Here is a 14203-nt window from a genome sequence, read left to right on the forward strand (position 1 = left end):
ATTACTTGCCCCCCTTCTGCATGGAAGAAGTCTTTTTCTTCCTTAGAATAGGTAGTACCAGGTCAGGTGTTTGAGGGAGTAAGGGGGCTGCTACCGATGCCCGGTAAGGGGTAGATGCTGCTTTTCGAGTTTCTGAATCAGCTCGAGAGTTTCCCAAGGCCACTGAGGTGGAAGCTCACTGGTGTCCCCTGCAGTGCATGACTGCCACCTTCTGAGGTTTCCACACTGCCTCTAATAATTGTAGAATATCTTGTTGATATTTTATGTCCTTTCCCCCAGAGTTTAACAGGCCCTTTTCCTTATATAATGCTCCACACTCCATGCACTTGGAGGGTTAGAAATGCATATCGAGAGTCAGTGTAGATGTTTACAGTCTTACCTTCACTGAGTTCTAGAGCCCGAGTTAAAGAATGAGCTCAGCCTTCTGGGCTGAAACACCCTGTGGCAACGGTTTGGCTTCAATGACAGCATCCAAAGTTACCACCGCATATCCTGCACATCTTTCTCCTTGTGGGTTGATGAAGCTGCTCCCATCCATGTATAAATCCCAGTCTACTGATGCCCATGGCTGGTCTCAAAGGTCAGGTCTGCTAGAATAAACTGAGTCCAACACCTCTACACAGTTACGCTTGACTGGGCTCTCTGATACTGGAAGCAGGGTGGCGGGACTTAGGGTGTTACAGATTTCAGTGGTTATGTGGGGATTTTCACATAGCAAGCTTTGGTACTTGGTTAATCTAGCATTTGTTAGCCAATGATGTCCTTTGGTATTCATCAAGGTTACCACAGTATGGGGGACATTTATATTCAGGTTTTGCCCAAGGGTTAGTTTATCTGCTTCTTGTGCTAACAGGGCTGTTGCTGCCAGGGCCCTTAGACATGGTGGCCAGCCTTTGGAAACCCCATCTAGTTGTTTTGAGAGATAGGCCACTGGCCTTGGCCAGGGCCCCACAGACTGGGTTAAAACCCCAACTGCCATTTTTTCTCTTTCTGACACATAGAGAGTAAAGGGCTTTGTGAAATCTGGTAGTCCTAGGGCTGGAGCCGACGTAAGTTTTTCCTTTAACTTACAAAAGGCTTGCTGTTGTAGAGGCCCCCGTTCAAAAGACACCTGGTCGCCCCCCTTTGTAACCCTGTACAAAGGTTTGGCTAGTACTGCAAAGTTTGGAATTCATAATCTACAAAACCCCACAGCTCCTAGGAATTCCCTTACTTGCCTTCTGGTTTTAGGTTCTGGTAGGTTGCAGATGACCTGCTTTCTTTCTGCCCCAGGGTGTGCTCCCCTTTCCGAATAGTGAATCCCAGGTAGCGTACGTGCTGTCTGCAGGTCTTAGCTTTCTTCTTGGACACCTTATATCCACAGTCTTCCAGGTGCCAAAGCAGGGCATCCGTCCCTTTTGTGCACCCAACTGCTGTGGAGTGTCCCAGCAGAACGTCGTCCATGTACAGGAGCAAGACGCAGCCTAGGTCTTCAGCAGGAAGCTTTTGCAGGTCTCGAGCCAGGGCCTCCCTGAAGATAGTAGGGGAGTTCTTGAACCCTTGGGGAAGCCAGGTCCATGTGTACTGAGTAGTGACACCTGACCCCAGATCTTCCCATTGAAAGGCAAACAGCTTCTGGCTCTCAGGAGCTAGTCTGATGCTAAAGAAGGTGTCTTTTAAGTCCAGACAGGTAAACCAGCTGTCCTCAGCTGGCAGCAGCTCTAACAATGTGTAAGGGTTAGGAACTGTTGGTGCAGAGTCACTGTAGCTTGGTTGACCAAGCGCAAGTCCTGTGCTGGCCGGTAGTCCTTGGTCCCTGGCTTAGGGACAGGCAGCAGGGTGGTGCTCCGTGGAGACTGGCAAGGAACTATAACTCCACAGGCTTTCACGCACATGAGATGAACCTGGATTCCTTCAAGAGCTTCTCTGGGAACCGGATACTGCTTTTATCTAACTGGTTGGGCCCCAGGCTTAACTTCTATGAGTATGGGGGTTTGGTTGACTGCCAGTTCCAGAGGATTATCTTCTGCCTATACTTGAGGCCATTGTTTAGCTAGAGCTGGTTTTATCTCTTGGCCTGGCTCTGTTAGAAAAAGTCTCCATTATTCTTCCTGAGGAACTGTAAGGGCTGTGATAACTCCTGTTCCTGGTAATTTTAGATGTAAAGAGCTCTGTTTTGTAAAGGAGATGGTGGCTCTCAGCTTGCTAAGCAAGTCTCTTCCCAGCAAGGGCAAGGGACAGTCAGGCATGTACAAGAACTGGTGAACTATTTCATGTCCCCCCACCGAGGATGTCTGTGGTAGACAGAAAGCCTGCTTAGTGGAAACTCCTGTTGCTCTGATTATATCAGTGGTTTTCTTGGATAAGGGGGTGACCAGGGTGGTCACTACTGAATGTTCAGCACCAGTATCGACCAAAAACTTAATGTCCTTGCCCCCAATTGTAATCCTGACCGTGGGCTCCTTGGGGGCGCTTGAGCCTGGTTGCCTTCACTCTGGTGGTCCTTCAGCCAGATTGAACAAAGCTCCCTCATCTTTATCTGAGATCTTTTGTTCCGAATCACCTTGCTTTTCCTTCAGTTAGGGACACTTATCTTTCCAATGTCCTATTTCCTTACAATAGGCTCATTGGTTATGTTGCAAGCATGGGCAATTAGACTGGGTATTCTTCCCGGAACCCCCCTTTCCCTCTCCTTTTGGGGGAATTCCCCTAATGGCCATGGCCAGTAAGTTGGTGTTTCGCTTGGCCTGGCGTTCACCTTCCTTACGGCTTTCTCTGCAGCTTGTTGCATCTCTGTTCACAAACACTTGATTGACTATTTCCAGTAACTGTGAGGTATTCATACCCACAAACCCAGCCTGTTTCTGCAATTTTCTCCTGGTATCTTCTGCGCTTTGACTAACTAAGGCCATGTTAATCATGCGCTGATTTTCAGGGCTATCTGGATCAAAAGGAGTGTACATAAGGTAAGTCTCACACAGTCTTTCATAGAATTGCGCTGGACTCTCCTCTTTTCCTTGGATGACCTCAGAGACCATATTTACATTTGTAGCCTCTTGAGCCCCTTTCTTTAGACCTTCTATTAATGCCTCACAGTACCATGTCTGGTCCCTTGTTTGGGTCCCATTGGGGGTCTGTTCCTGGCAGCTGAATTCTTATATATTACTGGGGGTTTTGGTAATCTGCTGGGACGTACTCCTCTAGCCACTTAGTTGCTGCCTGGAGCACCCTTCGCTGTTCGTCTGTATTAAAGAGGTACATGAGTAGCTGGTGGCAATCAGCCCAAGTAGGATTATGAGTCTGCATAATAGTTTGGAGCAAGTCAATTAAAGCTTGAGGCTTTTTGGTGTAAGATGGAGTATTATTTTTCCAATTGAGGAGGTCAACAGAGGTGAAAGGTTGACACACAAAGGCATGCCTTTCCACCACGTCTCCATCCTCATCTACCCCAGTATATCGCTGCTCTCTCAGGGGTGTTTGGATTCCAGTCTTGGGCTGTAAGCGAGCTGCCAAAGGAGGAGTTTCTCCCACAGCTTCACTTCCTCTTTTGTCCACTCTGGGTGGTCTAGGAGTGTGGCTATCTGGCAGAGGTATAGGTGCTGTGGGCTCAGGAGTGGGGACCCCTTCCTCTCGATAAGGAGGGGGTACTGCTGGTACCAATTCCTGCCATGATTCTTCTGGTGTTGGGTCTGACAGGACTTTTGGTGCTGATTTCCCTTGGTGTGTGGAGCAAGAACCTTCCTTAACTGTCCCTTTCCTACTAGTACTGCTGCTGCCTGTCATCTTAACCACTGTGGGGGATCCAAAACTAGCTTTAACCAAGAATCTATATACAGGAAATGATCTGGGTGCCTGGCTTATGGGTTACCCTGTGCCATACCTTCGAGACAAGGGACCTGTCCAGGCTTCCGATGGCCAATCCACCTCTAATGCAGGCCAGTCTATCTCACACAAAGTTCTAAGTTTTCCTGCTGTCATAATAACTCCATAGTCTCCCTTAAATCCCTTTTTGAAATTTTTCAACATATTCCTAGTGGGGTGGGCTTACTTTGTGCCTGACCCATGTTTCCTTGAGACAAAACACCACACTCAAACCACAAGCACACCACAAAATAAAGAACGAGTAAAGAGGACACACACACACTTTTATAGTTTATGCCAAACCAGAATCAGAACAAAATCAGAGTATCAGGGAATCCAAGCCAGGTCAAAACCAAAACCAAAGTATCAAGCAATCCCAGTCAAGTCAAAAACAAAAACCAAAGTGCCAGTACAGGCATGTCATGGGTGATCAGGCCACGCTTCCACTCAAATGGAGTGGGCAAGTTCCAAAGACCAGTCTTACCAAGTTTCAGATGTCCGGACTCCAAGTGCCAGTTCCTTCCCGGTGTTCAGCCACTGTGTTGATCCTCCACGGGGGCCTGCCACGCACTGCTCCAGCGAGGTGTTCCACCGGGGCAACTGACTACCTGGGAATGCTCTCAGGATCCGAGTCGCTCAAGCTGGCCAGAGTCCCCCAGAGGGATGCTCCACAGGGGAGGCCTAAGCCACCTAAGGGGCTGCCTCAACCTTCCATTAATCACCTCGCTTCCCAGCCAGGGAATCAAGAAAGTGTAGCAGGATGAGCCACAGACAAGAACCCCTCAGACACCGAATTGTAGAAGGAAAGGGCTTTATTCAGCTGGGAGCATAGGCAGACTCACATCTCCAAAAACAGAGCTCCCTGAGCGAGCAATTTCTGTCCCTTTTAAGGGCTTACAACTCTAAGGGGGTCAGTGTGAGAGGGTTGCGATCGATTGATCAAGCAGGGGGTACATGACTAGTGGCTGCATGCACCTGCACCGGTAATTAGAATGGAACAGAACAGTACATGGTTTTTCACAGTCCTTTTCCATACAATGTCTGTAATCTATAGATAGCATAACCAATTAGTTCAGGGGTCTGTCTTTAACAACTAGGCCCAGGGTTTGACGCCGGGATGTCTGCCTGTGGGTTTCATTTCTGCCTTTTAGTTTTTACTTCTTTTTTTCTTTGGAGGCAGAAATTGGGCATAAGACAATATGAGAGGTGGTCTCCTCCCTTACTTTGACCAACATCTCCCCAACCCATACCCCTAAGCCCCTGGTAACTACCATTCTGTCTCTCCTTCTATGAATCCAACTTTTTAAATTATACATACAAGGGAGATCATCTGGTATTTGTTTTCCCATACCTGGCTTATTTCACTTAACATATTGTCCTCCACATCCATCCATGATGTTGCAAATGACAATGTTTCCTTTTAAAACATACACCACTTTTGAATGTGTTTTATTCAGTCTACAAAGTCACCTATGAGACATTCAGTGGGGTCACAGAAGGAAAGTGCTTTGCAAGCCAGGCGAGGTGCCTCATATTTTTAATCCCAGCACTTTGGGAAGCCGAGGTGGGTGGATCACCTGAGGTTGGGAGTTCAAGAGCAGCCTGGCCAACATGGTGAAACTCCATCTCTACTAAAAATACAAATATTAGCTGGGCATGGTGGTGCACACCTGTAATCCCAGCTACTTGGGAGGCTGAGGCAGGAGAATCGGTTGAACCCTGGTGACAGAGGGTGCAGTGAGCTGAGATTGTGCCATTGCACTCCAGCCTGGGCGACAGAGCAAAACTCCGTCTCAAAAAACAAAACAAAACAAAAAACAAAGCAAAGCGCCCTGCATCAAGTTCAGGCTGCTCTATAACATTCTCAAGCACTTCGTCCAAATGATCTAGTAGATCCAATCATACTCAATGCCTCCATAGCATTCTCTGGCAAGCACCAATAGGAGACGCGCAGCACAGTAGTGTGGAGCAAATCCATGCCATCTTCTGCAGGAAACTACCCTCTTTTTGAGAAACACCTTGGCTCTGGTACTAGGTAGAAACAACTGACCGGTGATTTTTTTTTTTTTTTTTTTTTTTGAGACGGAGTCTCGCTCTGTCACCTAGGCTGGAGTGCAGTGGCGTGATCTCGGCTCACTGCAACCTCCGTCTCCTGGGTTGAAGTGATTCTCCTGCCTCAGCCCTTCTGAGTAGCTGGGATTACAGGCGCACGCCCCCACGCCTGACTAATTTTTTTTTTTTTTGTATTTTTAGTAGAGACAGGGTTTCACCACATTGGTCAGGCTGGTCTCAAACTCCTGACCTCATGATCCACCCGCCCCAGCCTCCCAAAGTGTTGGGATTACAGGCGTGAGCCACCGTGCCTGGCCTAACACGTGATCTTAAGATTATGTTAGTGAAGTTGATCCATATCACTGTATCTACCTTTATTACTTCATTTGCTGTAGAGCATTCCAGTAGTATAATTATGCCACAATTTACCCATTCTGTTGATCTCATTTGAGTAATTCCCAATTGAGGATTACATCAAATAATGCTGGTGAAATGTCTTTAATGTTATCTTGATGCACACTGGAGCCATTACTCTTATGTTAGAGCACATGTACGTGTACAAATTTAGTAGATGTTGCCAATAGTTTTTGAAATTTTCTCTAATACTCTCTACAACCAGCAGAATACGCACATCCTCATCAGCTTTATCTTCAGAACAAACCATTTTTTTCTCTGTGTCCAGCTAGCTCACTGGGACCCCTAAGTGACAAATACAGATGGTAATGTATTTCTTTTTTTTTTTTTTTTTTTGAGACAGAGTCTTGCTCTGTCGCCCAGGCTGTAGTGCAGTGGCACGATCTCAGCTCACTGCAACCTCCGCCTCCTGGGTTCAAGCAATTCTCTGCCTCAGCCTCCCCAGTAGCTGGGATTACAGGCGCCCACAACCATGCCCAGCTAATCTTTGTATTTTTAGTAGACGGGGTTTCACCATTGTGGCCAGGCTGGTCTTGAACTCCTGACCTCATGATTCACCCTCCTCGGCCTCCCAAAGTGCTGGGATTACAGGCGTGAGCCACCGTGCCCGGCCCAATGTGGGTATTTTTAAGCCTCATGTTTCCTTCAGAGCTTTCTGGCAGCCCATGTCAGCAAGAGAGTCTTCTGATTTCATTTACCCATGGAGTGAGTAGATGTGTCGGTGACATAGGAGTCTCACACGGGACTGGTAACTCTGTACATTTCTTCTGGGAAATGGAGTCCTACTTTGGGTAGGAAGAACCCAAAGTTGAACTGAATACCACGGAGAGCCTTGCCCCTCCATATATGAACACATATTTGCTAAGATTGGTAATTAAGTGAATTTTCATGTAGAACTTATTTTCAAGTGCTCAGCCAGCCACTGATTCTGATTCTTTCAATTAATTTCCTACTTAAGAAAATTAGTTTTTCATGAGTAGAATAAAGTGATGATTAGACATCATTTTTTCTGTAGTTATAATGTTGTAGATTAGATTCATCCCTCATTTTAATCCCCAAAGAAAATTCTATCAAACCTAAGAAAAACCCTTGATGTACTCACCTCTCTCCGTAGATATGTAATCAGCCAATTTATATGATGCTTTCCTTAACTCCTACTCCCTTTCCTTTCAATATGGCTTATTTAGACACCATCTTTTTGGTCTCACCTTAAATAGAACTCACTTTTCTTACATTCATCTATTCCCATATATACACATAGAAAACAATACTGTCCTCTACTTCCAAAACTCTCATCAATTTGTAATAATAAGTCAAGCGCAGTGGCTCACCCTTGTAATCCCAGCACTTTGGGAGGCTGAGGCAGGTGGATCACCTGAGGTCAGGAGTTCAAGACCAGCCAGGCCAACAGGATGAAACCCCCATCTCTAGCCAGGCGTGGTGGCGCATGCCTGTAATCTCAGCTACTTGGGAGGCTGAGACATGAGACTTGCTTGAATCTGAGAGGCGGAGGTTGCAGTGAGCAGAGATGGCACAACTGCACTCCAGCCTGGGCAACAGAGGGAGACTCTGTCTCAATTTAAAAAAAAAAATTGTAATGAAACATTTATTTGCTTGGTTAGACGTCTGCCCCTCCACTAGTTTACAAGTTCCCTAAGAGCAGCCCTTGGTTGGATTTTTTTTTTTTCATTATGCCTTAATGAACCATTAGCATTAATCACTTTATAAGAAATACAAAAAATAAAAGAAATATTTAAACACACCATAAGTCTACAATCAGAAATATTAAAATGGGTGTCTTTCTGAAATAATATGTGACTCTTCAAAAAGTTGATTTGACAGAGAAACCATAGTAACTGGTCTAGGTTCAAAGATACTAAAGGCCATAAACTTTAAATAGATCTTAGGTCCCAAGGGCCTATTTTGGAACCATGTAGAGAATTTTGTTTTTACAAAGTAGATACTAGATGAGTCGTTCTTTTTTTTTTTTTTTTTTTTTTTTTTGAGACACAGTCTCCTTCTGCCACCCAGGCTGGAATGCAGTGGCGCGATCTCGGCTCACTGCAACCTCCACCTCCCGAGTTCATGTGATTCTCCCGTCTCAGCTGGTGGGATCACCGGTGCTGGCTTTATTTATTTATTTATAGTAGAGATGGGGTTTCGCCATGTTGGCCAGGCTGGTCTCGAACTCCTGGCCTCAAGTGAGCCACCCGCCTCGGCCTTCCAAAGTGCTGGGATTACAGGTGTGAGCCACTGTGCCCAGCCTAAATGACTTTTTTTAAATTTTTCTTGGTTGAAATACAAATACTGTGGTTTTAGTAGACCAGTATCCTTTATCTTTAGAAAATGCATTACCAACTACCTGAAAGTCAAGTATCAATTTCCTGCAATTTTCAACTTACCCTCAAATACTTCACCATAAAAGGTATTTTAGTTTTCTAGGGAGAGGGCGAATGGTAAATTTGATTCCTAATACTAGTGCAACAAAATCTATATCCTTTCCTCCTGGGTGCCCATTTTTGTCTTTTTGTTTAAGAGGCAAGGTCTTGCTCTGTAGCCCAGGCTGGAGAACAATGGCGTGATCATAGCTCACTGTAGTCTGGAACTCTCTGTCTCAAGTGATTCTCCCGCCTCAGCCTTCCGAGTAGCTGGCACACACCACCATCTCTGGCTGATTTTTAATTTTTTTTTTTTTTTTTTGTAAAGACGGGGTCTCGCTATGTTGCCCAGATTGGTCTTGTACCCCGGGTACGAGACCCCGTACCCCGGGTGGGCCCCTGGTTTGTTCGTTTGCTTGGGTTTTTTGTTGTTGTTGTTTTTGAGACAGAGTCTCGGTCTGTCACCCCAGCTGGAGTGCAGTGGCACGATCTCAGCTCACTAACTTCCTCCTCCTGGATTCAAGTGATTCTCCTGCCTAAGCCTCCCAAGTAATTGGGATTACAGACGTGCGCCACCACGCCTAGCTAATTTTTTTGTACTTTTAGTAGAGACGAGGTTTTGCCATGTTGGCCAGGCTGGTCTCAAACTCCTGACCTCAGGTGATTTGCCTGCCTCGGTCTCCCTAAGTGCTGGGATTACAGGCGTGAGCCACCGCACCTGGCCAGCGCCTGTTTTTAAAATCTGTGGGGAGGTCCAGGCCTACGAAGTTCAGATCAAAATAGCTTAGCATTCTTATTTTTCTTCAGTAGAAAGACCTGTTTGTGGTCTACATAATTTTATATTTCCGTAGAGAAATATGCACTCCCTAGATACTTATTAAAGTGTCTTTATAACAGAATGTATGGCGTCAAAAATACGTTTATGACGCATAAACAAAGGAACATTCTCAGTTGAAACATTCGTTCGTATAACAAGATGCCCCCTTGAACCATCCCTCACCCAGTGCTCACCGGAATGCGCGGGAATCGCAGGGTCTGTAAGGCAGGACGACGCTGGGGGACAAGTTAACGTGGCTCAAGTGGAGGAAATTCTTTTCCTCATAGAAAAAACTCACAATGGTCTTTTTGGAGGCTTTTGAAGGGAGCTCCATGGGTGAGGGCGGCAATTATCGACCCCGACTTTCGCGAGGACTGACAGCCCGAGCGGCCTCGCAGACCTACCTGACGCGAGCACAGCAGGCCAAGTATCTCTAAGAAGGCCCCTCGGCAGCTTCGGATAAACTTCAACTCTCACCACCCGTTCCACTACCAGTACACTTGCTCCCTCCGAAATCAAGGACAACCATGGGTAAACCTCGCTCAGGCTCGCGGAGCCAGTACCGGAAAAGAGGGTGGCGCCTCGCTTGCGTCACTTCCGCTTACAGCCTCCAGCCAGGAGTGGCTCTGCTGCTCGTGCTTCAGCCTTGCTGGAAGACATTACGTCGAGAAATTCTAGTTTCCTCCCGCGTGGGTGCAGCTGAGACTTGCTGTGGACTCACAGAGGAAGCTGGAGTCCCCAGGTTCAGAGAACAAGGTTGAAGTTAGTCAGGCCTGTGGAGGGAGCTATGGGCCAGGGGCACGGGCCCACGCTAGAGGACCAGGAGGAAGGTGAGGCCAGGCCCAGAGGATGAGCTTGAGGTTAGAATCAGGCCTGTGGGCCGGACTACGCTGGGGGAGGAGCCATGATTGGGGGCGGAGCAGAAGGTGGGTCCAAGCCCAGAACACCAGGTTGAGATCAGATCCAGTCCTGTGGATGGTAGAAGGGCAGGGAGGAAGGTGGGGCCTGGCCCCAAGTAATCGGCCTGTGTGGGCCTCCCAAAGTGGTGGGATTACAGGCATGAGCCACCGCGCCCTGGCCCCGGACTCTCAATTCTATACCATTAATCTGTAGCTCTGTCCCTAAGCCAGTGCCACATTGTTTTGATTACTGCAACTTTGTAGTAAGTTTTGAAATCCAGAAATGGGAGTCCTTCAACTGTGTTCCTCTTTTTCACAATTGTTTTGGCTATTTGGTGTTTTTTCCATTTCTGTTTGAAGTTTAGGATTCACTTGTCAATTTCTGCCCAGAAGCCAATGTCAAAAAAATAAATAAAAATAAATAAATAAATAAAAAAGCACTGGAAAAAGCAAGATCTTCATTAATTTTAGTCACCTGTACCAGATTTCTCTTTCTTTCTTTCTTTTTTTTTTTTTTTTTGAGATGGAGTCTCGCTCTGTCACCCAGGCTGGAGTGCAGTGGCACAAACTTGGATCACTGCCACCCCCGCCACCCAGGTTCAAGCAATTCTCCTGCCTCAGACTCTAGAGTAGCTGGGATTACAGGCTCCCACCACCCTGCCCGGCTAATTTTTTTTTTGGGGTGGGGGACAGAGTTTCACTCTTGTTGCCCAGACTGGAGCACAATGGCATGATCTCAGCTCACTGCAAATTCCAACTCCCGGGTTCAAGTGATTCTCTTGCCGCAGCCTCCCAAGTAGCAGGGATTGCAGGCACCTGCCACCACGCCCAGCTAATTTTTGTATTTTTAGTAGAGACAGGGTTTCACCAGGTTGGCCAGGCTGGTCTTGAACTCCTGACCTCAGAAAATCCACCTGCCTCAGCCTCACAAAGTGCTGCGATTACCGGTGTGAGCCTCAGATTTTTCTTTAGGCATGGAAGTGTAGGGGTCTACATTAGGAGAGAGTTAAGAGTGTAACAGTATCATGGGTTAAGCAGAGCTCAGGAGGAAAACCAAAAAATATTGTATCCATTTTGTACCTTAGGAAAGGCCATCCATGAGCATCACTGGGTGGAGATTTTTGGGTAAGAGGTGTATAGTTTCTAGCACAAGGGTCAAACTCAACTCCGATGGAAAATTCTTCGTTGGGGCAGTGTCTTCTGAGGCAATGTCATCTCAGCCAGTGAAATTTGGGGGCCAGAGTGATATCATGATGTCATCTGGGATGTGGGACTGGGGAATCCTTTGTTGTTGTTGTTGTTGTTTTGAGATGGAGTCTCACTCTATTGCCCAGGCTGGAGCTCAGTGGTGGGATCTCAGCTCACTGCAAACTCTGCCTTCCAGGTTCAAGCTATTCCAATGCCTCAGCCTCCCAAGTAGCTGGGATTAGAGGCACACACTGCTATGCCAGGATAATTTTTGTGTTTTTAGTAGAGGCAGGGTTTTGCCATGTTGGCCAGGCTGGTCTTGAACTCCTGTCCTTAAGTGATCCACCTTCCTTGGCCTCCCAAAGTGCAGGGATTACAGGCATGAGCCATCAAGCCCAGCCTGAGGAATCATTTTACGTGAGTACCCATTTGAGTTAATAGGGACCTCCTGAGTGTAAACCAGTGAAAGTACAGAAACTAGTAGTAATAACACCAACAGTAAACAGAATGGTGTGCAACTGTGCCTGACAGTTTTTGTTTTTGGGTTTTTTTTGTTTTTGTTTTTGGTGGAAATTTAGCTGCTTTTTGTTTGGAGGGTTTTTTCGAGACAGGGTCTCACTGTATTACCCAGGTTGGAGTGCAGTCGTGCAATCATAGCTCACTGCACCCTTGAATCCCTGGGTTCAAGGGATCCTCCCTAAGCTACTGAGTAGCTGGGGCTAGAGGCGAATGCCACCATGTCCAACTCATTTTTCAATTTTTTTGTAGAGATGGGTCTCATTATGTTGCTTGGGCTGGTTTTGAACTCCTGGCTTCAAGCAATCCTCCTGCCTCAGCCTCCCAAAGTGCTGGGATTACAGGTGTGAGCCACCGCACCCGGCCAAAATTAAGTTTAAATGGGTCCTGTGGCCAGGCGCGGTGGCTCACACCTGTAATCCCAGCACTTTGGGAGGCGAAGGTGGGCAGATCATGAGGTCAGGAGTTCGATACCAGCCTCACCAACATGGTGAAACCTCGTCTTTACTTAAAAAATACAAAAGTGAGCCAGGCGTGTTGGCACGCGGCTGTAATCCCAGCTACTCAGGAGGCTGAGGAAGGAGAATAGCTTGAACCTGGGAGGAAGAGGTTGCAGTGAGCCGAGATCACACCACTGCACTCTAGCCTGGGCAATAGAGAGAGGCTCTGTCTCAAAAAAAGATCATAATAATAAAATAAAATAATAAATGGGTCCCGTTATCAGATGATCAGCTGGCTGGCCTGTGGGACAATCTCTGCTTAATGAGTCCAAAGAAAGCATATACACTCAATCTGGATTCTAATCCCTGAGAGATGGGGGCAAAATTAAAAATTTGTTAAGATTGGTTAAGATTTGGGGCAAAATATAAACTTATGTAGGGGTTTATTTGTTGGACTGCAATTTGAAAAGGAGTTGTTTGAGGACTTCATTACATCCCTCAGTTAAAATGTCTATTTGGAACCTGTTAGGGACACAAAACGTCTATTGAATGCCTTTTTCAAGAGCCTAGCGTTCTGTATTTTAAGAAGTGAAATGTGTGTCTTGGTTACTATCAGTAATGCCTGTTACTCCAAAGGGAATGTGGAGTGGCCTTGCAGAGGCTGGTATTGCGGCCTCAGTATACGTGGCAATGTGTTGTTTTGATTTATATTTTCGGTATCAGTCAGGCAAGAGATTTCCAGACTTTTTTTTTACCTTATGGGGACAATATTTAGGTAATGGCTCAGTTGTGTATAATAAACATGATGATGGGATCATATGTTTGACCAGGGCATCCAGTGCCAAAACAGTTGCCAAAAGTACGGCCAAGCAAATTGTTTCTTGGATCCTGTCCTTTAAAAAAAGAAAATTAGCCGGGCGTGGCGGCTCACGCCTGTAATCCCAGCACTTTGGGAGGCCGAGGCGGGTGGATCATCTGAGGTCAGGAGTTCAAGACCAGCCTGGCCAACATGGTGAAACTCTGTCTCTACTAAAAATATAAACATTAGCTGGGCGTGGTGGTAGGCGCCTGTAATCCCAGCTACTCAGAAGGCTGAGACAGGAGAATCGTTTTAACCTGGGAGGCAGAGGTTGCAGTGAACCGAGATAGTGCCACTGCACTCCAGACTAGGTGACTCCCATATATATATATGGGAGTTTATTAAGTATTAACTCACAGGATCACAAGGTCCCACAATAGGCTGTCTGCAGGCTGAGGAGCGAGGAGAGCCAGTCTGAGTTCCAAAACTGAAGAACTTGAAGTCTGATGTTCGAGGGCAGGAAGCATCCCGCATGGGAGAAAGAGGTAGGCTGGGAGGCTAAGCCAGTTTCTCTCTTCACATTTTTATGTCTGCTTATATTCTAGCATCTCTGGCAGCTGATTAGATTGTGACCCCCCAGATTAGGGGTGGGTCTGCCTTTCCCAGCCCATTGACTCAAATATTAATCTCCTTTGGCAATACCCTCACAGACACACCCGGGATCAATACTTTGTATCCTTAAATCCAATCAAGTTGACACTCAGCATTAACCATCACACCAATCTACAAGAGCAAATTATTTATCTGTTGTTGAATGAATAGAATCAGTAATCTAAATAATATTGGAAATTGAGTATGGA

This window comes from Homo sapiens, chromosome 19 (genome assembly GCF_000001405.40).
Source record: "Homo sapiens chromosome 19, GRCh38.p14 Primary Assembly".
Classification (NCBI taxonomy): Eukaryota; Metazoa; Chordata; class Mammalia; order Primates; family Hominidae; genus Homo; species Homo sapiens.